This window comes from Homo sapiens, chromosome 7 (genome assembly GCF_000001405.40).
Source record: "Homo sapiens chromosome 7, GRCh38.p14 Primary Assembly".
Classification (NCBI taxonomy): domain Eukaryota; kingdom Metazoa; phylum Chordata; class Mammalia; order Primates; family Hominidae; genus Homo; species Homo sapiens.
Window position 1 is genome coordinate 3,612,720 of NC_000007.14, and position 25,871 is coordinate 3,638,590.

A 25,871-nucleotide genomic window follows, 5' to 3' on the forward strand; every position below is an offset into this window, starting at 1 on the left:
TGGGAAATTCAGCTGTGGCAAAAGCGGAGTTCAGTAATAACCTGCCCTGGCTGATTACTCCATTCACACTGGCATTCTGGTCCTCCCGGCTGGACTCGCACCTGATTGACGGTGCTGATTATGATGGCTTAATACAGCTCATCGTCACTTCACCGGGACACGTGGACTTTGTGGGCTTCACAGACTACCCCCCACCCCCCTTGTTTGTGGTACAGTTGATTCTTCTGCTAAGTGGAGGTTGATTATTTCTTTATTCATTATCTCTTTAAAATGCAGGAGAAAAGGGCAAATTATCAAATAGGTGATGATTATCCTAGTGGAAGCTCTCTTGGGCAGAGTCAAAAGAAGAACTTGCAGTTCAACTTGCTTGATACCTCATAGTTGATTCCTATTCATTCTGCCGTTGAAGGGTTTCAGATGATACGACTTAATTTTAGCTGTTGTGGAACAGCAATGAAAATCCATCGCAAGACCCCCTTTCTTGATGTTAGGGAAGCCGGGGGACGCAGGATGAGGTAGTAGGCTCCAGCTGCTGCCCATGTGAATGATTTTTCCTCTGCAGATAGATGGGTCATGGTCCCTTTCTAGATGAGCAGAAGATTATTCTCACATTGGAGAGGTAACATTAAATACATTTACATTGGATCTGAAAACCTTAAATGTTTACTTAGGGAAGTGTCATCTTCACATAAAATTATGATGTTGTGTAAGCCTTCCTTTTTCTCCACAACCTCTCCAGCACCTCTTATTTTTTGGCTTTTGAGTTACAGGCATTCTAACTGGTAGCTTATTTTGGTTTTGATTTGCATTTCTCTAATGGTGGGAGTGTAAATTAGTTCAGCCATTGTGGAAGACAGTGTGGTGATTCCTCAAAGACCTAAAGACAGAAATACCGTTTGACCCAGCAATTACATCACTGGGTATACACCCAGAGGAATATAAATCGTTCTATTATAGAGACACAAAGACACATATGTTCCCAATAGCAATGACATGGAATCAACCCAAATACCCATCAATGATAGACTGGATAAAGAAAATGTGGTACATATACACCATGGAATACTACGCAGCCATAAAAACTATGCAGATCATGTCCTTTGCAGGGAGATGGATGGAGCTGGAGGCCATCATTAGCAAACTAACACAGGAACAGAAAACCAAATACCACATGTTCTCCTCCTATAAGTGGGAGGTAAATGATGAGAACACATGGACACAGAGAGGGGAACAACACACATTGAGTCCTGTTGGAGCGTGGAGGATGAGAGCGGGGAGAGGATCAGGAAGAGTAACAATGGATACTAGGCTTAATACCTGGGTGATGAAATAATCTGTACAACAAACCCCCATAGCACAAGTTTACCTATGTAACAAACCTGCACATCCTGCTGAACCTGAACTTAAAAGTTAAAAATTATGATGTTGTCTTGAGACAATGTTAAGTCTATTCCTGTCCTTTGGGCAGACCTTAAACCTATATTATCCACACAGATGAGACTCTCTCTTTCATAAATGATTTATGTTCTATTTTAAGAATAGAACACTTTCTATATGAAAATGGAAATTTCACTTTTCCTTAGTAATTTATTCTAGGGTCTTCTAATGTTCGTTGTTAGAATACAGAAGTATTCCTAACGTCTGCTCATTTTCCTGAGGAAGGGAATGTCTATTATTATTTGAAATACACACACACCCTTCAAAGATTAATATGTGGGCCATTGGCTTTTCCCCAGGTCAGAGTTTTATAACTTTACCTTAGAGGCAACTCAATCATTTTCTTTATGAATCATTTCAGGATGTTCTCTTTCCCATTTAAAGTATGTAAAGATCAAATGCTTTTGCAGGGCATCTGTGCAGACTTGAATACTGATCCTTCTTTCTCCCTTTCTGTCCCCAAAGTTTTGTGTTTTGTTACCTTAATGCCCTCTTTTAACTTGTTTACCTACTGTATGTATTTCAATGGTAAATAGTGCTGGGCTCAGAGAAGTGCTATTCCCCACCTTGGCTAATCTATGTCAAAATACGTGTCGTTATGATTTTAATTTGAACGCTTAAAATTCCAGGGTGTTGACATATTTTCCCTTCCCTTCTCCTTATAATGAATGTTAGTGTCTGTGCTAACCATAATTTTACGGCCATTTGGATCTCGAGATATTTGCTTGCCAGCTATATGAAACCATTCTTTAAAATGAGCTTTTTTTTTCCTACCAGCTCACAGTATCCAGCCTTATAATTTGTACATGGTATAGGCATGTTTGTTTAACTATAAAGTCCATGAAAAATTGAGTTGTAGTATCATTTTAATTCAAATCCGTTGTATACTATATTAAAATGATGATGCTCTATCAATAGCAAAACCAAATTCAGATTTTTGAGTTTCTATCTCGAAGCTTTTCCCTTTCGAAAAGATGTATGTTTTCTATGACTCATTCGTGTAGGACACTGGAACCATATGAAGTGGCATTTCTTTTTCTGTTGTTAAACAGAGTGCAAATGGCCAGACATTAATAAAGCCTGTAGCTCAGTAAATCCCACAGGATCAAAGCTACCTCCATTGCAGTTCAGCTTTATTAGACTGTTTGGGTAATAAGAGGAGATGATTTTTGCTGAAGTACATAGGAAAAAGGAAATTGGACACATGGCTACATTCAAATTTAAGAATGCAGTTGATATACAGCTTAACGCATGTCAGTTGCAGCAGAAGCAGGCAGAACTCTTGGAACAGGACAAGGCTCGACAACTCCTGACTTTGAGTTACATGTGCTGTCACAGCATCTAACACTTTACTGCTTACATTCCTGCATCAGACCTAGATTATAAGCGCTTAAGGGACAGCGACTGTGTCTTACACTTTGTATTCTCAATGCTGATTACAGAGGCTGGTACATAGCATCAGTGCATGTTTATTGAACAGAAAGTTGTACAAGTCAGAGACATAAGAATCCTTCTTGACATCTCCCTCTCCCTCACATCCATAACCAATCTATCACTGAATCTTTTTCCCACCTAACTATTGCTTTAAAGCGGATCACTGCAGTGGCCTCTGGACTGGTGTCCTCCCACTATTCCACGCCCTCTTTTTTTCCTTCTCACATTACAGCCAGAATGTTCTTTTAACAACACAATCACACAACCTCTTCAAAGGCTTTTTGCTGTCTTTTTTTTTTTTTCTGAGACAGGGTCTTGGTCTGTCACCCACACTGCCAGGCTGGAGTGCAGTGGCACAATCACGGCTCACTGCAGCCTTGACTTCCTTGGGTCAAGTAATCCCTCCACCTCAGCTTCCTTAGTAGCTGGGACTGCAGGTGTATATCACCACACTGGCTAATTTTTTAAAAAACTTTTTGTGGAGATGGGGTCTCACTGTGTTGTCCAAGCTGGTCTTGCACTCGAGCTCAAGCAATCCTTCCGCCTCAGCCTCCCAAAGTGTTGGGATTATAGGCATAAGCCACCACAACTGGCTGTCCTTTTGTAGTAAGAGCTAATCATCATCATCATCATCATTATCATATTGACAGTACTTTTTACAAGGTTATAAATAGGGTGATCACACACGTTGTTAATACTCGGACACTTGAATGTGAGGTGGGCAGCATGGACAGTCACGCAACGATGAGGTGGGAACCAGAACACGTGTGGCCCTGCCTGCAAGGCCCTGCACAACCTGGCCCTGCTCATCCCACTTCCAGTCACTCTCTTTGCACCTGCAGAAAGTCTTGCTGTTCACTCTTTCGTACTGCCCAAGGGTACTCGCCATGTTTGCTCCCACCAGAGGGCCTGCTTAACGGTTTGGAGTGCTGCCAACACTTTTGTTCTCAGCTCCTGCATTTCATCTCATCGACTAGGTTAAATCTCCTACTGTAAGTTCTTGCCGTACTCATAGATGCAATTTAATATTTATTTATTTGAATGAATAAATGAATAAATACTTGTGAGAGGTTGGTAATATTGTATTACTAATATACCAATTATGATGGAATATAGTGATCAACAAAATGACAAAATAACCTATGTATTTATATTTAAATTCTATATATTCAGTTTATACACTATAGTTTAATGTGCAACTAGTTTCAGTGTTAACATTTCTAATGTGCTACTTGATGTTTATTAAATGTACAGTAGTTTATAAGAACAGCTTAGTAATGTCACAAATAAATTACCAAAAATTTAAAGTTGAGTATGACTTCTTGAAAAGAAATTTTCCGTATTAAGGAAATATGTGACATTTGGAGTCAAAATATATAGAATTGGTAGATTCTGGAGCTAGATTATCTGGATTTAAATCATGACTTCACTGCCTACTGACTGGGTAGCATTGAGCAAGTTATTTAACTTCTCCATGCTTCTGTTTATTCATTCTTAAAATGGGTATAATGATGACATCTATGTTATAGGGCTTTTGTGAGAAATAGGTTAATATATATATAAGGCATTTAGAATGGTTTCCAGCACAAAGTAAATAATAAATACTAGCTATTGCTGATATTAGTGTTATTATATTTATTCATTCAACAGATATTTATTAGCTATCCCCTTAGTTCCTGGCATTGTTCTAGGTGCTAGGAATTCAGAAGTGATCAAGACTAATGTACTGTAGAGTAACCTACAAACACTTTAATTTCAGTATCTGATAACTATTGTAAATGGAATAAACATAATGACTTGTTAGAGCATATTGTGCAGGAGGAGCTTTAGTTAACCTGAAGGATGAGCAAAGATGAGCATGCACAGAGCATCCTAGGTAGAGGAAAGACCAAGTGGGAAGGCCCCACAGTAGGTGTCTCACTCCGTTTTCTGCTGCTGTAACAGACTGGGTGATTCAAAAATGATGGAAGTATATTTGACTCTTGGTTCTAGAGGCTGGACAGTTCAACAACATGGCAGTTCATCTGGGGAGGCCCTTTGTGCTATATCATCCTGTCATGGAAGTCAGAAGGTCAAGGGAGTGCATGAGACAGAGGATGGGGGCCCAACTTACCCTTTTTATTAGGACCCCTCTCCCTTGATAACTAACTCCCTCCCACAGTATCAGCATTAATCCATTCCTGAAGGTAGAGCCTGCATGACCTAATCATATCCTCAAGGTCCTGCCTCTTATTACTGTTAGAATGGCCATCACATTTCATCATGAGTTTTGGAGGGGACATTCAGACCGTAACTCTAGGAAAGAGCTTGGCTTGGGTTTAAATGTGCAAGAAGTGAAGTGTGCCTGGAGTGCTCGGTGTGAGCAGAGAGGGGAGGAGGCCTGAATGAAAGTTAGAAAGCTGATTATGCAGGTGGATCTTGGGGACTTTTGTAGAAAAATGACGAGTCATATAATCCTGTTTATTTTGCTGATAAAGAAACAAAAACCTGTAAGTCCTGATGAGGATCAGGTAGCTAATTAGTGATGCTACAGCTAGAAGCCAAGTGTGCTGCATCCATATTAAAAAATGTTATTGAAACAGATCTACAAAACATTGACAAATCATATCTAGTATTCTCTCCATTTTCACAAAGTAAATGTACCTTTGTAACCACATCAGGAAATAAATTTTGACCTGCTTTTCATAAGCCATCCCATTACCTTCACCCCCGTCGCTATCCCATCCCTCAGAGGTAACCCTTATCCTTAACCTCTGACACCATAGATTAGTTTTATCTGGCTGTGAACTTTTATGAACTTTTGAATAGTAGCACATGCTATAAGCTTTTTTGAAAATTCTGTCTGGCTTCTTTCACTCGGCTTGATGTGTGTGGGATTTACCTGTGTTGCTATGTGTAGCAATTGTTGCTGCATTCTCGCTGCAGTGCGCTGTTCCATTATGTGAATATACCATGAGTTTCCTGTGTTGTATCCCATTGAAAGTCACCAGGAGAGACCATTTCCACGTGTGTATGAAAGGAAAGCTAGGTTGCGATTCATGTCGTTTATGTATGTATGTCAATCTTGCTTATCTTACTTTTTTAAAACCAATTGAAGGTTATAGAGGAAACTTCTCTTTTATAGCCTGCATACACTTGACTGTTTTCTCGCAAATAGATTGCCTAGTTAAAACCAAAAGCTTGTATGTACAGGGATTGTCCGATATGTCCCTTCAATAAGCTATTAACCATAAGTGGAAATAACTTGGATGAACCTGTCAGATGCTTTCAAATGCGGGTATCATTGAGCTTTCAGCTTTTTGAAATATTATCTGGGGTATTGCATGTTTCCAGGGTTTGGTAAAGGATTATTTACTTCTTAATTGGGCCAAACAGCCATCACTTTCATTTTAATATTACGTTTGTTTAAATAATAGATTTATTAAATTAGATGAGTGCCACTTTCATGCGTACTTCAGTTTTGTTTTGTTTTGTTTTTTAATATTTCAGATGATGTTGCTCCATATTTTAAAACGGAGCCAGGCCTACCACAGATCCACCTGGAAGGGAACCGCCTTGTTCTCACCTGCCTTGCCGAAGGGAGCTGGCCTTTGGAGTTCAAGTGGATGCGCGATGACAGTGAGCTCACCACCTACAGCAGCGAATATAAGTAATTGATCGCTTGAAAAAATAAGATCCCATTTCAGTTGATGTGTTTGGAATACTTGCCTTACTGGTCATAATAGCACAATGAGTGAAAATATTGGATTGAATTTCTAATGCATTCAAGATTAAAGGAATAGATTTGAATATGTAATTAGAATGTGATTTACTATTCTGATATAGGTTGTACTTACACCTAGGAAGTCTATCATTATATTTGTAAAAGTAAGCCCATTAGTGAAATTATCAGTCAACAAAAACCTATGGTTACAGAGCAATGCCAATAACAGCTTTGGTATGATACATTTACTTTCCAAGGGCAACAGCCCTACCCACAAGTATTGCTCCTGTCTAGGCACAAATGTTTAAACAGATCTTTAGTATGGTAGCTTCTGGAGCTCTGAGTAGTCAGCAAAAGTCTTTCCTAGCTGTTTTCAAGTGGAGATAGGGATGGATGGAATCATGGAGAATGGGCATGCATACAGCCTGTATATTCAGCAGCAATAAAACAGTATATATTGAAGTCCTGCCATGTGCCCAGCACTGTGCCAGTCACCAGGGATCTGATGCACTGGGGTGGACATGATGTGGGGACAGAGGGCCTGAACCTGTGGCAGAGCACAAGATCAGGGTAAGACTGAGGTGTAGATTCACCTGGAGGCAGTAGCACAGCCTTTGGAGCCTCAGGGTCTTACCACGCTTCAGAGCTTTCCAGGGGTATACTTTTGAGGATGATAATATTACATGCTGCAGTTCTGTGCAGGATGGAGAACTAGCATGCCAGAAAAGTCCAGGAGGCCTCACCATCAGCAAATCAGCAAAATCATCGCTGCCATGCTTTTCTTTAGATGAAATAAGAAAGAGTGGGCTGTATAGAGGCATTTTAAGTGGAATAACAAGCTTCTCAAATGGGGAATAGCCCACCCACTCACTCTCTTTACCTCTGAGGTTGTGATACGGTGGTCCGTGGAACCACACTCAGCCTGCCCAGAATTTATGTGTGTGTCAGTTGTCTGTGTGTTTGTATTTTAAAAATCAATTAAAAAAAATATGAGAATGCTTACAGCATTTTTTTTTTTTTTAATTTGAGACGGAGTTTCACTCTTGTTGCCCAGGCTGGAGTGCAGTGGCGCGATCTTGGCTCACTGCAACCTCCACCTTCTGGGTTCAAATGATTCTCCTGCCTCAGCCTCCCAAGTAGCTGGTTCTACAGGCGTGAGCCACCACACCTGGCTAATTTTTGTATTTTTAGTAGAGATGGGGTTTCACCATGTTGACCAGGCTTGTCTCAAACTCCTGACCTCAGGTGATCTGCCTGCCTTGGCCTGCCAGATTGCTGGGATTACAGGTGTGAGCCACAGCATATTTTTTTATTAGCTGCCAACATTTGACAGTTCTAAGATTTTCTGTAAAAACCTTGCTTCCCAGCCTCTGCAGACCAGTCAGAAGGCCTGGCTGCCTGGTCTGCAGCCCCAATCAGGAGCAGGCGGCTGAGCAGAGCTGCCCCCATCAAAGGCATGGACACTCCCTGGTTCTCCTCGGTGCTCTCTGGCAGCCCCGTCCCTTGTAGCACCTCACTTGCTCTCCCCATTCCCATTACCCACCCACACTTTAGACAAGTGAGTGTGTGACTGCTTACATTATTGGGCCTACCCTGTTGGAGGATCTACACTCGAGGAAAAGTTTATCATAGTAGATCATAGCATGTTGAAATCAAACAGTCCTGAATCCTAGGACTGGCAGAATTCAGCTCCACCACACCTGAGCAATGGTGTTATAACTTTAGGCAGGTGACCCATGAGCCCTCCCCTCCCGTAAGTGAAAAGAGAGTGACGTAAGCGTTTGCAAAATGGGAAAGATCCCTCCTCATTTGCAGTGTTGTGAGCATTGAAGGCTCTAGTGATCGTAGGCAGCATTATACATTATTACCATGTGACATTGTAAGGCTCAGTTTGTTAGAAGGGGTGTAAGAAAGCAGAAACAGAAAAAGTGAACTTAGAGTTGAGAACCATGTTTGAGTAGTGACTGATAACAGAAGACTGGAGTTCAGGGACTTGCTCTTCAACTTACCGGTGTGACTTTGGACAAGTTATCTAATGTTGATCTTTTTCCATTGGAAAAATGAGTACAGTAAGGCCCACATCACCCTCATTTTTATGAGAGTTCTCTTAAAAATTAAATTACATAGTGCTTTGTATGCCCCAGAAAGAAAGGAATGGAGTTTCAAAGAACCCAGATTGTTCTTCCTAATAAGAAGTAGGCATGATGTGGACAGTGTGTGACAGTGGCCTGGTGGCCAGGCTACACGCCTTGGATGGCGGGAAAGGAATTGTTTCCTAGATCTTCAGTTTCCACATGGATGTTTTCTGAAACTGAATTCCCCAAGAACAGGCCTTTGTGTAGGCACCAAGCCATTTCTCTTTTCCGACCACCTGTAATAGTGGTTTCTCCTCCATCCCAGGAGAAAGCGCACCTGTACCTTATCTGAGTCTTCCTGTGGAACTCTCTCTGGGGGGTGCAAGAGTAAGACAGAGTAATATCAAAGTTCCCACTATTAAAGAATTCTTTTGATTTTTAAATGGATAATATGGGTCTCAAACTATTATTTGCAAATCGTTGAATATACAGAGGGTCCCCAACTTACGATGGTTCAACTTAACAATTTTTTGACTTTACGCAGTTGAGAAACCCTTCTGTTTTTTACTTTATAGTATTTAATAAGTCACATGAGATATTCAACAGTTTATTATAAAGCAGGCTTTGTGTTGGATGATTTTGCCCATTTGTAGGCTGATATTAGTGTTCGGAGCATGCTTAATATAGGCTAGGCTAAACCGTGGTGTCTATGAGGGTAGGTATGTTAAATGCATTTTTGACCTAGGGTATTTTCAACATACGCTAAGTTTATTGGGACATAACACCTTCATAAGGCTAGCAGCATTTCAATTTAAAACAATTTTGTAGGCCCGGCGCAGTGGCTCACACCTGTAATCTCAGCACTTTGGGAGGGTGAGGCAGGCGGATCATTTGAGGTCAGGAGTTCGACACCACCAGCCTGGCAAACATGGTGAAACCCCATCTCTACTAAAAATACAAAAATTAGCCAGGCATGGTGGCGCATGCCTGTAATCCCAGCTACTTGGGAGGCTGAGGCAGGAGAATCGCTTGAGCCCAGGAGGCAGAGGTTGCAGTGAGCCAGGATCGCACCACTGCACTCCAGCCTGGGCTACAGAGTGAGACTCCATCTCCAAAAACAAAATTTTAAAAAAATGGTGTAACGGCTTTATTTTAAATGCCAAAGTGTACAAAAAACTGTTATATATGCAACCTTTCAGAATTATAAGACAACTTGCAGTCAACTTAAAACTGCAGGAAGAGGTGGAACACTCTTTGTATTCTTAAGAGCCCTTGCATATGTATTTGTTCATTGGAAACACAAGAAGACAAAACGTTGTTGGTTGTATTGAAGCAAGATTGAGGGAGTGACTCGTTATATGTGGACTATTAAAATAAGCTATGTGCTTCACTACTATGACATGGGAAACGTAAGGAGGAATGGGTGATTCTGAAGCAAGAATTGTTTGGGGTATTTGTGATAAATTATATTATGTTCCACGAGGGCCTCAGACACTTAGATGGGTTATCAGGAATCTATCATAGCTTGCTTTTTTTTTTCCCCATGATATAAAACCTGTCTAAAAATCTCATACTATTTTTTCAAATTACTCTTTCATCTACTTCCTTCCAGTAAGCATGTTCATTTATCATATGTTAGCCTTCATGAGACCTTTGTAAGTTTCAAATGAAAAAAACATGGATACTTTATGAAAAAGGTAGTTGTTTCCCACCTTAACAGGACCCTTATTTTTCCCCACTTTGGTGTCAGTTATGAAAATGCTAACCCTGTAAAGAGCAAATACTACACATTTACTTTTTCTAGCTTTGACTTAAAATAACATTTTCTTTGCTGTGTGCGTTACACACTGCACAGTGAATTTCAAGTGTTGTATTTCTTTTTTTTTTTTTTTTTTTTGATGTGGAATCTCACTCTGTTGCCCAGGCTGATGTGCAGTGGAGCGATCTCGGCTCACTGCAACCTTCGTCTCCTGGTCTCAAGCGATTGTCAGCCTCCTGCGTAGCTGGGACTACAGGCATGTGTCACCACGCCTGGCTAATTTTTTTATTATTAGTAGAGAAGGGGTTTCACCATGATGGCCAGGCTGGTCTCACACTCCTGACCTCAAGTGATCTGCCTGTCTCAGCCTCCCAAAGTGCTGGGATTACAGGTGTGAGCCGCTGCACCCGGCCTCAAATGTTACATTTCATATTGATGCTCATGTCTACATTTTGGTGGCACAGGTGACTACATTAGCAAGTTGACGGTAATTCAGCAATTAAACTAAGTTTGCATAGATATCTTAGGTGGATTTGTATTCTTTCCAGAAAGCATTTAGTCTAAATTATTTTCTACTTTGGAATGAAAAAATCTTTTCTAATTATATTCAACATATACATACACCTAAGCCGAGAATTTCTTAATGCTAGGCACAATATTTATTATTGTAACAGAAGGAATAATTGTATACTCTAAACTCCTAAAAATTTTATAGTTTTCTTATGTAACCTGCCTCTGTGGTTCAATTTCTATGACAATATAAAAATAGAAATTTGATGGATGTTTATTCTTGCTTTATTCCAGGGAAAATAAGAATGGTTAAGGGAAAGGTTATTTTTTTCTTTTGTTTTATAAAAAGGCAAACATTTCACAGTATCAATAAAAATTATGAAATACCTGGGAATAAGTTTTATAAGAAATGAGTAGAACCCACGTGGAAAGTGCGTAATGAGATATAAAAGATGATACTTATGTAGGAAACCCACTTGCTATAAAAATTACAGTTCCTTTGAAGCCATCATAGAATTTTAGCCTAACATCAGTAGAACTTTTCAGAAAGCTAATATCAATAGCTGATTTTATTTTGCTGAGATAGGGTCTCACTCTGTTGCCCAGGCTGGAGTGCAAGTGGCCTGATCATGGCTTACTTCAGATTCAGCCTCCTGGGCTCAAGCAGTCCTCCTGCCTCAGCCTCTCAAGTAGCTGGGACCATGGGACCCACCAGCACACCTGGCTAAGTTTTCTATTTTTTGTGCAGATGGGGTTGCACTGTGTTGCCTAGGCTGGTCTCAAACTCCTGGCCTCAAGTGATCTGCCAGCCTTGACCTCCCAAAGTACTGGGATTACAGGTGTAAGCCACCACACCTGGCCTGGATATTTTAATAAAAAATGCCAATGGGATTTTCTGGGGAAGTAACTGATGAAGTTTTTCTAAAGCTCATCTAGAAATGTAAACAGAAGAATACCAACAAATTTTCACAACATTAAGTGAATAATGGGGAGGAACTTTTTTTTCTAAAACCCAAGGCATATTAGAATGCCATAATAAGTAACATGTTAATAGTATAAAATTAAACAATATGCCAGAGGAGCATTTTGAACCAGACCATTATATTTATAAAAAATATATGATCAAGGCCAGGCATGGTGGCTCACACCTGTAATCCCAGCACTTTGGGAGGCCGAGGGAGGCGCATCACCTGAGGTCAGGAGTTTGAGACCAGCCTGACCAACATGGAGAAACCCCATCTCTACTAAAAATACAAAATTAGCTGGTTGTCGTGGTGCATGCCTGTAATCCCAGCTACTCGGGAGGCAGGAGAATCCCTTGAACCCGGGAGGCGGAGGTTGCAGTAAGCCAAGATCATGCCATTGCACTCCAGCCTGGGCAACAAGAGCAAAACTCTGTCTCAAAAATAAAAATTAAATTATATATATATTCAAATGAGTTCTCAAACCAATGCTAAAAACAACTTTTTGCAAACATTCAAAATAGATCCTCATTAAACATCAAAATAAATTTTAGATACAATGAACAATTAAATATAAAAAAATGGAAACATAAACAAAGGGAATATTTGAATGATCTCAGATTATACCAGGAGAAAGTACAAAAGCATTGAGAAACTTCATCAGAAACCGATCACAGATAAATTTACAAATATTTACAAGTTTTGTATAAAAGATACAAAATTTTTAATTGCCCATTTGCTTAATCTTATAAGTTAAAAGGTAAGCAACAAACTGGGACAATATTTGCAACAAATCAGACAGTTCTGTCTCTAATAACTTGGGATCTCCTGATGACAGTGGTGGAGACAAAGCTTGGCTCTCCTTCTTTGTTTGTGAATGTCATCCCAGGAAGCAGGTGTAAAGGCAGGGGAATGAAGCAGGGAGGAAGGAAGCACCAGTGCAGGGATCCCTTATCAAGTTGGCAGTCACTCTAAGTGGCTGGAGCTCAATCTTGTTTGCAACGTCTATGGAGTCTTATGAAATGCATCTCAGAAGTGCCCACTCTAATGGGTGAAAGAGGAAATTATTTATCAGCTCCTGTACTTGGCTGATAAATATGGGTCCCATGGTTATTAGCCTTCATTTCTAATTAGCTCAAGCATTGGTAAGCAGCTAAACCTGCTGGCTGTGGTGCCAGAGAATCCCCAGGACAGGAAGCAAGAAATAGGAGGCATGGGTTGAGGCAAAGTGATGCCAGCTGCGCCACCATAAAGCTACTCAGGGCTGCCTGGAAGTGTTGACCACAGCAGCAGCTCAAGTAAAAGGTAGAGCCAGAAGGATTTTTCTTTCTTTCTTTTCTTTCTTTTTTTTTTTTTTTTTGAGGGAGAGGGTCTCACTCTGTCACCCAGGCTGGACTGTAGTAGTGTAATCATAGCTCATTGCAGCCTGGAACTCCTAGACTGAAGTGATCCTTCTGCACCAGCCTCCCTAGTAGCTGGGATCACAAATGGGTGCCACCACAACTAGCTATTTTTTTTTTTTTAGACACAGGGTCTTGCTATGTTGCCCAGCCTAGTCTTGAACTCCTGGTCTCAAGCAGTCCTCCTGCCTTGGTCTCCCAAAGTGCTGAGGTTACAGGTGTGAGCCACCACTTCCAGACCGAAAGGATTTTTAAAATAGAGAGTAAGAGGACAAAATTGAGTCTATTCCTTGAACCCCTCAGTGTAACTTGTACCTGCTGTTAAGTCTAATTCATGAAAGAGTCCCTTCTAAGAAGATAGTCAGCTATAGTTTCTAACAAGGACTTTATTCAAGAGAGTTAGTAGAACAAGCTATTTTTCTTACTGGACCAAGTCTCAAGGCTATAATTGGTATTTATGTTCTCCTGCCCATTTTAGGTATGCATAACTCTCAGCCTGCTCTTCAGCTAGTCGAATTTGCTTGGTGCTGGGTGGCCCAGGCCCTCATCTCACCTTTTAGTTGCCTTGCCTTTGTAGGGCCATGGATTCTCTAATTACAACTGGTCTTGCGAGTACTAAGAGATACCCCATTGACTTCTCTCCTCCTCACCTCTGCTGTGTGGCACCAGCCCTAGTGTCTTAGAGTGATTAGAGTCATTTACCTCCATCAGTGTAGTAACGCCTTTCTTTTTCACCAGCCCACTGGCATGAAGTTCACAAAGTGAGTAGGATGAATTAGAGTCAAATTCTCTGGGTCCCTTTTTCTTCTATAGGAAATCTCCCCCACTGAGAACTCAGATCTGTAATCCAAAAGAGCCTAAAGTTGGGAAAAAAACAAATAGATGGCCAGAATAGGGGCCAATCATATCTTGACCTCAGGTTCAACAATTTTTTTTTTTTTATTTTGAGACGGGGTCTTGCTTTGTTGCCCACGCTGGAGTACAGTGGCACAGTCATAGTTCATTGCAGCCTCGACCTCCCGGGCTCAGTTCATACTCCCACCTCAGCTTCCCACGTAGCTAGGGGTACAGGCACACACCACCATGCCCAGCTAATTCTTTTATTTTTCTGTAGACACAGGGTTTCACTATGTTGCCGAGGCTCGTCTCAAACTCCTGGGCTCAAATGATTCACCCAGCTTGTCCTCCCCAAGTGCTGAGATTACAGGCGTGAGCTGCCATGTCCAGCCAACACTACCAGGCATTGTTCCGAATCCTATTATCCTATTAGTGTGGCTACTTCCAGGTGATGTAATAGCTACTAGGACTACCGGATCCTCTGGGGAAAGTGCCTGTTTTCATACCTCCTTCAATAAGTACAATGAGTCCCTGATCTGGGACAATTCTGTGCAGGCTGCCACGTGTATAGGAGGTATTCATGCTTCCAGATTGCGGTGCTGGCCTAGTCAATGAGCAGAGAAGGCAGATCCATATCCAGAGGAGATCCTGAGTTTGATTAGGAAGAGTCACTGCATGTTTCCGTGGTAGAAAGGTCAAATATAAGCATCCAGTCCCAAGTGGCCAGCTTGAAGAATTGTGTCGCACTGAGGGCTCAGCATCAGTCTCTGCCGTTGCCACGTTTGGCATCTGGCATTGGCAAAAGCTAGATTAGCTTTGGTGAGGAGGAGCTGTTGCTTTTGGATTCATTCATAGCCTCAGTCCTTGCCAACATGACCGATTGATGTCCCATTTTATTAGTTGAGAAGAAATCTAAATGACACCCACAGTTGAGTCATCCTCTTCAACTGATCGATGAGTGCCTTATCTGAAGTGGATGCTCTCTAGTGATATAAAAAATCCACATATTACACCCACCCCCATTGGGCTATTTACATATGACTTTCTTGTTTCTGAATTTCCAGTCCTGTTTCTCCCAGGCCTCTTTCCCATCAGCCAAGCCATTTGTTACTGCCCAAGTGTCTCTTTATATCCATTCTCAAGCCATTTCTTTCTCAAATCTCTCCCTATTCAAAGTTAAGGACCAAAGGTACTACTTGCAGCTCCGTCTGCTTGGAAGGCTCTTCCTTAACTGCGCTCCCTTTGGCCACGCATGAGTAAGGCCATAGTGTGACATCTTCATTTTCCGGATCAAGTTGACTCATGTATAATCCCAGGCCTGAGTGTTTAACTGTTCTATCAATTGGTGAGGCCTGTGTATAACTGAGACAGTAGTCTTACTCTTGTGGCTACATAGTTCTGTTAATAATTCCCTCATAATGCTTATCTCCAGTTGCATATTTTCTTTCTTTCAAGATAGAATCTTGCTCTGTTGCTTAGGCTAGAGTATATATATATGTATATACAAAATATATATATTTTGTAGAGATGGGATCTCACTGTGTTCCCAGGCTGGCATATTTTCTTAATACCTATGGGGTCAGGACTTCAGTTTGTCCTAAGGACATCAGTGTATGTAGTTCCCTTCTGCAGAAGGCATGATCTTATTCCAGGACCTTATGGATGCATGTTTGACTCTTCTTTGGGGCTACTAGAGACTCCCCACAACATCCTTATCCACAACAGATATCTCTGGCAACATTCTATATGCTGGGATACGTGGCTTATGTGAAAGGGCAGCTTCTAGAACTATTGTCTAATTCTATGGCTGAGTCCTGTCTTCCTCTTTGTCTCCCTAAAAACTGGCAACCTGGGTCAAGATAAAGTAACTGGGATCTGATTTACTGCCTCATTTGAAACAACTGTAAAACTGGACAAAAATATGAACAGTTGTTTTCAAGACATTGGATATCAGGCAGTGAAAGATTGTGATCGCTGAGAGATGGAAGACAAACAAGGTGAGCCCTATGTTTGCCCTCTGCTTACTGCCTTGAGGGGATTTCTAGGCTGTGGCACAGAGAAGGAAAACCCAGGCAGAACCTAGAGGACCTTCTGAGTTGAAGAGAGCTGAGAGTTTGGAAAGATCAAGGCAGCTAGATTTCTTAGGGCAGGGTACTGGATAAGAGAGCACTACAGGCCAAGCGCAGTGGCTCACACCTATAATCCCAGCACTTTGGGAGGCGGAGACGGGCAGATCACGAGGTCAGGTGATTGAGACCATCCTGGCTAACATGGTGAAACCCCGTCTCTACTAAAAATGCAAAAAAAAAAAAAAATTAGCCGGGCATGGTGGCGGGCGCCTGTAGTCCCATCTACTCGGGAGGCTGAGGCAGGAGAATGGTGTGAACCCAGGAGGCAGAGCTTGCAGTGAGCTGAGATCTCGCCACTGCACTCCAGCCTGGGAGACAGTACAATTCTCAGTCTCAAAAAAAAAAAGAAAAAAAAGAAAAAAAAGAAAAAAGCACTACACAGAGAAAGAATGCTGGAATCCTCCAGAGGGTCCCCCTTTAATATTTGGCAGAATATTCGTCAGCACATTCATGTGAGAAAACTACCCCAGGCAAGGGAAAGGACTATCCAAGAAGATTAGAGGCAATAGTTCCCTGTGCTTACACAGGACTCGGCGGAGTGTCTGTTCTCACCAGCCAAATCGTAAAACCTCATATTCATGAGTTTATCAGATAGCCTGCACAGAGGTGTCTTGGGTCAGGAGAATGATTAGCCCTAGACCAAATACTGCTCTGGTTCTGCCTAACAAGTCTTGAAAAGCAAGATCCAAAAGGATCAAACTGTTGCTCAATATCTTCACAGTATCAGAGAACAAAGTTAATGAATATTTATAGGAATGCAAAAATTTCCAGTACCCAACAAGGGAAAATTCACAGTGTCTAGAATCTAATCAAAGATCATCAAGCATATGCAGATGCAGGAAAGCATGACCCATAATCAGGAGAGAAATCAGTTGATTGAAACCAAGCCAGAACTGACACAGTTATTAGAGTTAACAGAGAAAGATAATGAAACAGTTATAACTGTATTGCATATGATCAAAGTAGAGACACGAAAAACACAAAAAAGGCAGAAATCTAACTTATAAGGATGAAAACTATAATGTGTGAGATAAACATTGGATGGGACCATCAGGAAACTAGACATCACAGAAGAAGATATTAATAAAGCTATAGTGATAGAACTATCCAAAATAAAAGGCAGATAGAAAAAAAATCAAACATAATGAAAAGGGCACAAATGAGTTGTGGGAAAGCTTCAGATGGCCTAATAGATGTGTAGTTGGAATCCCCCAAGGAGGCAGTCAGAGGAAAAATATTTGAAGAAATAATTTTTTCAAATTTGCAAATCCCAATTACTGGAGTTACCAGCCAGTGCAATAAGGCAAGAAAAAGAAATAAAAGGCATCCAGATTGTAAAGAAAGAAGTAAAACTGTATTTTCAAGTTACATGATCATTTATGTAGAAAATATATACTTTTAAAAAGCTGCTGATAAGTGAGTTTAGCAACATTACAAGATAGAAGATCAACATATAAGAATTAATTATATTTCTGTGTACTAGCAAACAAATCTGAAAATTACATATTTAAAAATTTAAGGTAGGATGGGCATGGTGGTGCATGCCTATAATCCCAGTTAGTTGGGAGGTTGAGGCAGGAGAATCCCTTGAACCCAGGAGGCAGAGATTGCAGTGAGCCGAGATTGTGCCATTGCCCTCCAGCTTGGGTGACAGAGCAAGACTCCATCTCAAGAAGAAAAAAATTTAAGATAGTACAAAAAAATCTGAAGTAAGGATAAATCTGACACAGGGTCTGTAAGGTCTTTACACTGAAAACTACAAAACAATGCTGAAAGAGAGAAGAAAAAGAAGACCTAAATCAATGGGCAGATACACTGTGTTTATATATCTGAAGGCTTAGTATTATTAACAGATCCATTTTTTCCAAACTTATCCCTTGGTGATATTCTTTAGGCCCGAGACCCTGAGACAAATTACATAACTAAAATCTAAAATTCATCACTAAGCTGTGGGGAAGATTTCTCTACAAGATTTTTTTTTGTTTTTGGAGACAGGGTGTCACTTTGTTGCCCAGGTTGGAGTGCAGTGGTGCAATGGTTCACTCCAGCTTCTGCCACCCCAGCTCAAGTGATCCCCCCATCTCAGCCTCCCAAGTAGCTTGGGACTACAGGCACATGCTGCCACGCCTGGTTAATTTTTGTATTTTTAATACAGACAGGGTTTCACCATGTTGCCCAGGCTGGTCTCGAACTTCTGGGCTCAAGCGATCCACCCACCTTGGCCTCCCAAAGTGCTGGGATTACAGATGTGAGCCACCACACTCAGCTTCTAATGCTTTCTGTTTTATTTTCTTTTAATCTATTGAGCTCTCTCTGTACTCACCAAGAAGAAAGTCTATTATATTTAATTGAGAACTCTTTTCTCAGTTGGTTTCCTCATCACCCAACCTAATTGTGTGTAACTCCCATCTACATCTTCGTGAAAAGGGCTTAATTTCTCTAGTTGTCCATCTTGATGTTCAGCTTTCATTTTCCTAAACTTGGTTTATGTCAGCTCTCTTTTTCTAGTTAACTCCTCTTTGCTCCTGTCCTCTATGAATTGCCTAGCTTTCAACAGCAAGGACAGCAGGTGCTATCTTATTTAATTTAGATCCATAATATTAATGCGGTGTGACCTCATGTTCATATTCTCCCCACAAAGTTGAGTGTTTTTGTATTTCTGGCTTCAGTTTGACTGCTTTTTGGAACTCTGTATGGTCATAACAGATATGAATGTTTATGGAGAATCTCTGAGGCAGAATTAGCATTAGGCTTTTTAAGGTTCTCATTGGTAAATGATTTGGATTTAGATAATTATTGGTTCTTTGTTTAGGGATCATTGTGGAAGCTAAGTGAAGACCTTGCCAGAATTGACCAAACTACTCTGTAACATAATTCATTGTTGACAAATACTCCCGAGTGAGACAAGTGGGAGCTTTTAAAATTTATATTTTTAATTTGCTTATGCTTATAATGTTTAATAGAGTGGTTTAGGTCTTTTTTCCATTATGCGTTGGAATGGATTTTTTTGATTATGTAGAAACTAACATTTGCCTTCATACTTTAATCCTTGATATAATGGTCCCCAACTTTTATGTTCATAGAGAACCTGGCATTATAAAGAATTAAGTCAACAGACATGCAATAAAAGATTTTTATCCCTAAGAAAAGGCAATGTCCTCTTTCCTGAAGGTTTTCTGAAATTCCTTTTTTACCGACTTGAGAGAGCAATTAATGCTCACAGTAGATTTGACAGACGGTTCTAGTCATCTGTGCTTCACTAAATATGGATTGCACATTTTCTGCCCCTGATTTAATAAGGAAAAGTAGGAATGAATGACGAATGCATAATCCCCAAAGCATTGTTTATTTTAGAGAAAATCACATAAACGGGAATCCCAGAGGAGGAGTCTTGGGAACATTTCAACATTAATTCTTAGGTCTTTGGATTGGCTTTCATAACTATTAATGAAGATAAAGTTTAAATGTAGTCATTCATGGTATGGCATCAATAAAAAGTTATCGAAGATTAACATCTAATTGATACCAGGAGAGCTTATATTCATTCACCAGATTTATATTCCCAAAACCAGTGCTACAGATTCCATAGACCCTCCCACACAGGGACCTGTTTATTGCCCTTCTCAAGTTAATATGAATTTTGAAATAAATAATACACAGATTAAATAACTTTTACAAATATTGTGTTCCCTTTGTATAGCTTCCATCGTTACCATACTGTTTAATTTAACTTCATATTGATTACTTCAATTGTTTTGAAAGAACTAAAAACATAACCTCAGCTTGCCTGATGCCTAGGGCCTATTAGTGAGCTGTATACACCATCAAAGTCACATATATATCTCTCTCTTAACAAATTTCAGTTTGAATTGTCCTTGTGTTTTTCTGAGACAGCTTGTTATGGCACAGTCTGGGTTTTTCATTTCATTATTTTGCTTTAGGAGAAAACCTGCTATAGACTCATCCCACTTTGGATTTTTTAAATTTCATGTAGAAAACTTACAAAAATAAAATTGAAAACAATTATTTATCATGCCATTCCAAAAAGAGAATTGATGTATTTCCAAGAAGGACATAAATGGCTTACAGTTATTTTTACCTTAACCCATATTTTTTTTTCATTTTAAGGATAAGAATAGGCTTTGGTCCAAGGTATGAAAGCTTATTATAGAACTTGGTTGCTTATTTTCATGGAAAATAGATATTTTCATACCAGCATAAAAATTAAAGTTGTGGAGAATAGTCTTATCTAAAGTGACATAAAATGGATATTGACAGTCCCCCCACCACTGAAAGAGAAAAATCTTACATCTAATTTTAACAAATATGCAGATTTTTTTCTTATGAATCAAATTAAGTTCCCTGACCACCTAGGGGAAGTATAAATGTTCTCCTCTGCACTGACGCTGTGGTTTTGGCCTGTAACAGGTAGATTCGGTCATATCATCTGGCAGTGCTTGGAAAGGACTGCTGAACAGTATTCTAAAATAGTATTTTGTTAGATGTTTTCTAAAATTTTAGTGGCTCATACTCAAGAGAACTTCTTATAACAGGTAAATGTGTCCCAGTTTAAGGGGATTCTTTATCTTCCCATGATTTTTAGTGGTTTACCAAGAGCCATGTTTTTTTGTTTATTTTTTCTTTTTTCATAAAAAAAGAAATGATTCTACGATATATTATTTAGGTTTTGCTATGACCGTGGTGAGCACCTAGTAACTTTAGAATATATTTCAGCCAAAATTATTTTGGCTATGTTCTAGGGTGTGGAATTTTGAAGGGTTCTAAAACCACAGAAACCAACTTTCTCTTGTGTGAGCTGTTGCATGGATGGATATTGGGGTGCCCTTAGAATCAGCCTGGAGATTGGGCAGGAACAGAGTGAGCCACAGTCACTCTGGAACTGGTCCTCTGAGGGTCCTGCTGCTGGCCCCACCAAATACTGGCCATCACTGCTTGAGCCACTGCCCTAGTTGGCACTGGACACTCCCCTACTCCCCTGGACTAGGGCTCCACTGTGCCCCCACCACCGCTGCTGTCAGATGAGTTCTCCTTTAGCCCTCTTCCTGGGCATCACCAACCCCAGATTTAAAAATCCAGAGCAAATGTGTCTAATTGGCCATGCTGTGTCTCAGAGCTGGTACCTGTAGAGGCAGGTGAGTGGTCTGGGAATATCCAGATGTGGTCTTTTCAGCCTTTAATTTGAGATAAGCCCCATCTCCACAAAAGCTCATAGGGTGGCAGATTCTCCAAATACAGGGAAGTGGTTCAGATCCTAGGTAGACTGAAAATGTCAGATGACTAGTCCCAGCAGTTGTTCCTGGGCTGAGATGGACCCGATGCTGCCTCATAAAGAAATTCTAGGGTTGGTCCAGTGGTCCACTCAGAGATGCAGGTCACAACTGAGGCTTTCTCCTATTAGCAGAAATGGACATTTAAGCCTTTGGTTTTTGTTTGGATTTTGTGTTTTATTTTCTTTGCCATTCCTGATAATGAACTGGTCCTGGAAAACACTGTGTTAGTTGAGTAGAATTCTGCCTTGATAGAGTGAATGCAAACATTCCCTGCTGTGTTGATTTGAAATAGGAACAGGCATTTTCTATACTTTAGTGGCATATGGTGCTAAGATTTTATCATACTTTCTTATAAAGAGCCAGGAAACTTTGCCTGCTTAAAAATGTGTGTTTATAAACAATAGACTTACAATGAATATTCCCATCTGTTAGGTGAACATAATTTGTGTAGGAATTCCCATAATAGGTGGAGGACTTTGCAACTTTCTTCATATTTTTTCCTTGGTGAGACATTAGACTAAAGAGATGGTACAAAACAGCATATGCTTAATATTCAATTTTGTCTCTATTTCTGCTTCTTGTTTGAAAGCAGTTCTATTTTTGGGCGTTAGTACGGAGGATTACTATAGAAATTCATAAGAATTTAAGACCTATTTAGGTATTGAAAAACAGGAAAAAGTAGAATGAGCAATCATATAAATATGGTTATGTTGCAGTGATAAAACTGTCTTTGTAATGTTTCAAATACATACTGCAATTACTTGTGCTATTTCTTCCCAAAAACTTTTGTTGACTTTGTTTTAAGCTAATCTCACAGCTCCCCTCTGTTGTAATCACAGCATGTAATAATCAAAGCCGCACATACTCCTGGTCTGGATTTGTAATTTAAATAAATGGCATTGGCTCTTTGCATTCAATTTGACATTATTGTGATTGTATTCAATAATTAATTTTGTTTTAGATGAACCATTCCACATAAAAGAATAAAAATTTTAAGATTAAAACTCAACAATATTTTTTCTCTTTATAAAAGATTTTATTAATCCTTCCCTAGGAGCTCAAGAAGATTATCAGAGGGGAAAACATAGTTTGATTAATTTTTGTTTAATCTTGAATTACCTGTGTTGTCCAAATGTTTTAGTCGCTTAAAATTATGCCTATCAGTTCCTTTTTCAGGTTGCCTAATTGTGCATACTTGAATAAAAACATGAGCAATTAGTTGAATATAAGTGATTCAAGATATGCTTGGGAACTGAGCAAATACAGCGTAGCATACACTTTGTCTTTTACTCGATTTTGAAAAAGTTTCTCTGGTTATACTTTGTAAAAGGAAATACTTTTAAATTGTGGACAAGTATTACTGGAACATCTTTTTGGGTGGGTAAAGTGTACCGTCACTCTGTTTTCTTCTCCCCTTTTTGGAAAATAGTCTTTTCCTATTTGAGCTCCTTTTCTTTTCTTTTTTCTTGAGACAGGATCTGGCTCTGTCACCCAGGCTGGAGTGCAGTGGCACGATTTTGGCTCACTGCAACCTCCACCTCCCGGGGTCAGGTGATCTTCCCACCTCAGCCCCTAAGTGGCTGGGATTACAGGCTCACACCACCACACTTGGCTAATTTTTGTATTTTTTGTAGAGAGACGGTTCTGCCATATTGCCCAGGCTGGTTCCTTTTCTTTCTTACGGTAGACACCTTCCCATATGTGAAAAGCATCCAATCCTCATGTCTTACTCTTTTGTTTTTTGTTCAAATATGATGTACCTTATTCAACTGCAATGTGCATATATTCATTTTTATTTTTTAATACGATCAACATAGAAAAAGCTGTACATATCTAATGTATACAGCTTGATGAGTTGGGAGATAATTATACGCCCATGAAACTTTCACCACTATATGTGGCATAAATCTCTCCATCACCTCCAGAAGTTTCCTCCTGCCCTCTTCATTATTATTTTTGTGTGATAAAAACACATAAAACTTACCCTCTTAGTAAACTTTAAAATATGTGATACAGTATGATTCCTGTAAATGCTATGCTGCACAGAAGCTCTGCAGGACTCACTCATCTCATATGGCTGAAACTTCCTGCCCTTGGATTCCTCCCCGCTTCCCCTCCCCTGTACCCACTAGTGGCCACCATTTCACACTCTGCTTCTATGAACTGGACTATTTTACATTCCTCTTATAAGTGGTATCAGGTAGGATTTGTTCTTCTGTGTCTGGTTTACTTCACTTAGATGAACCTGCATGACGTCATGCTATGTAGCAAATGCCAGGATTTCCTTCTTTTTAAGACTGAATAATATTCCATCGTGTGTATACACCACCTTTTCTTTCGCCATTCCTCAGCAGACTCCTGGGTTGTTTCCATCTCTTGGCTAATTGTGGATAATGCTGCAGTAGACGTGGGAGGGCAGACATCTGAGATTCTTCTTTCAGTTCTTGGGAAATATACTCAGAAGTGGGATTTGGGGGTCATGTGGTCATTGTGTGTGTAATTTTGTAAGAAACAATTTTTCCATAGTGGCTACACCAACTTACATTCCCATGTACAGTAGTTCCTTTTTCTCCACGTTGTCAGCAACATGTGTTTTTCATTTTTCGATAGTAGCCATCCTAACAGGAGTAAGATGACATCTCATTATGGTTTGGGTTTGCATTTCCCTGATGATTAGGGACATTGAGCTCTTTTTCATATACCTGTTGACCATTTCTGTGGCTTTGGAGAAATGTCTGTCTAGTATCTTTGCCTTATTAAAATTAAGTTGTTTTTTTAAGCTTTTTTTTCCTGATGCAGAGAGAGAGAGAGAGAGAGAGTGCGTGCGCGCGTGTGTGTGTGTGTGTGTGTGTGTGTTTTGAGAGAGTGTCTTGCTCTGTCACCCAGGCTGGAGTGCAGTGGTGCAATCTTAGTTCACTGCAACCTCCGCCTCCCGAGTTCAAGTGATTCTCCTGTTTCAGCCCCCCAGGTAGCTGGGATTACAGGCGTGTGCCACCACACCTGCTAATTTTTGTATTTTTAGTACAGACTGGGTTTCACCATGTTGGCTAAGCTGGTGTCAAACTCCTGGCCTCAAGTGATCTGCCTGCCTCGGCCTCCCAAATTGCTGGGATTACAGGCAAGAGCCACCACGTCTGGCCTCTCCTGTATTTTGGATATTAGCTCTTAGCTATATAGTTTGCTCACACCTTACTCTTAATTTGTCTGTGAACGTGGCTGAGAACTCAATTACTCTACCATCTTGGGCAGCTTAGAAGTTGTGGGCTCCGGAGTTGTAAGACGCATTTCGAGTGGCGGTTGGTTACCTATCTTTACTTGCTGGTGGATTTTAAAACATCCTAATTTACAAAACCAGCAGTAAACCTAAGGCAAGGCTTTTATAGAAACTGTATCTTTTAATTATTTTTTTCCTTTGAAATTGTACTAAAAAATTTAGACAGGCATGGATTTGAAGGATGATTACTTACAGTTACAGAAGTGGAAAATCCAAAGGAAATGACTTTTTAACCTCTGAAAAAGTTTTTAAAGTTAACATCAGGGAATACGTGGAGAAGTAAGGAAAGGAAGTGAATACATTGTGCTGAGAGATGTCCACATTGGTGACTGGAGAGAGACGCCCTGATGGCATTGCTTTCTCTGCCTTGACGAGTTCTGTATCTCATCCTGAAAGTGTTGTTTGCCTCTTCCTGTGGAGTGACACAAGACATCGTGTTAAGACTGTTGCCAGTTCTAGGAATCTTTGGAAATTCTGATGTTCTACAGAGAGAGAATTATAAACGATTTTTGATTGAGAGGGCTAGTTTAAATGCAGTGACTTTTAATTATATAACCTTTCTCATTCAACCAGTTGTGAGTTATATCTCCTGTGTGCATGGCACTGTGCTAGATACCATGGTTACAGTGATGAATAAGACAGAAGTAGATCCTAGCTTTGGGTGATATTTAAAGCCCAGTTGGGGAGACAGGTATCAGTGCGATAATCTCAGAAATAAAGAAATACCATTTGACCCAGCCATCCCATTACTGGGTATATACCCAAAGGATTATAAATCATGCTGCTATAAAGACACGTGCACACGTATGTTTATTGTGGCACTATTCACAATAGCAAAGACTTGGAACCAACCCAAATGTCCCACAGTGATAGAGTGGACTAAGAAAATGTGGCACATATACACCATGGAATACTATGCAGCCATAAAAAATGATGAGTTCATGTCCTTTGTAGGGACATGGATGAAGCTGGAAACCATCATTCTCAGCAAACTAACACAAGGACAAAAAACCAAACACCGCATGTTCTCACTCATAGGTGGGAATTGAACAGTGAGAAA

At 40.2% G+C, this 25,871-nt stretch overlaps 1 protein-coding gene across 1 annotated transcript in view; it reads left to right on the top strand.

Moving 5' to 3' along the window:
- Positions 1-25,871, top strand: part of SDK1 (sidekick cell adhesion molecule 1) — a 967,749-nt gene that overhangs the window by 311,468 nt on the left and 630,410 nt on the right. The window contains exon 2 of the mRNA NM_152744.4: positions 6,361-6,520. Coding sequence (NP_689957.3) covers positions 6,361-6,520 — 160 coding nt within the window. The remainder of the gene's footprint in view (positions 1-6,360; positions 6,521-25,871) is intronic.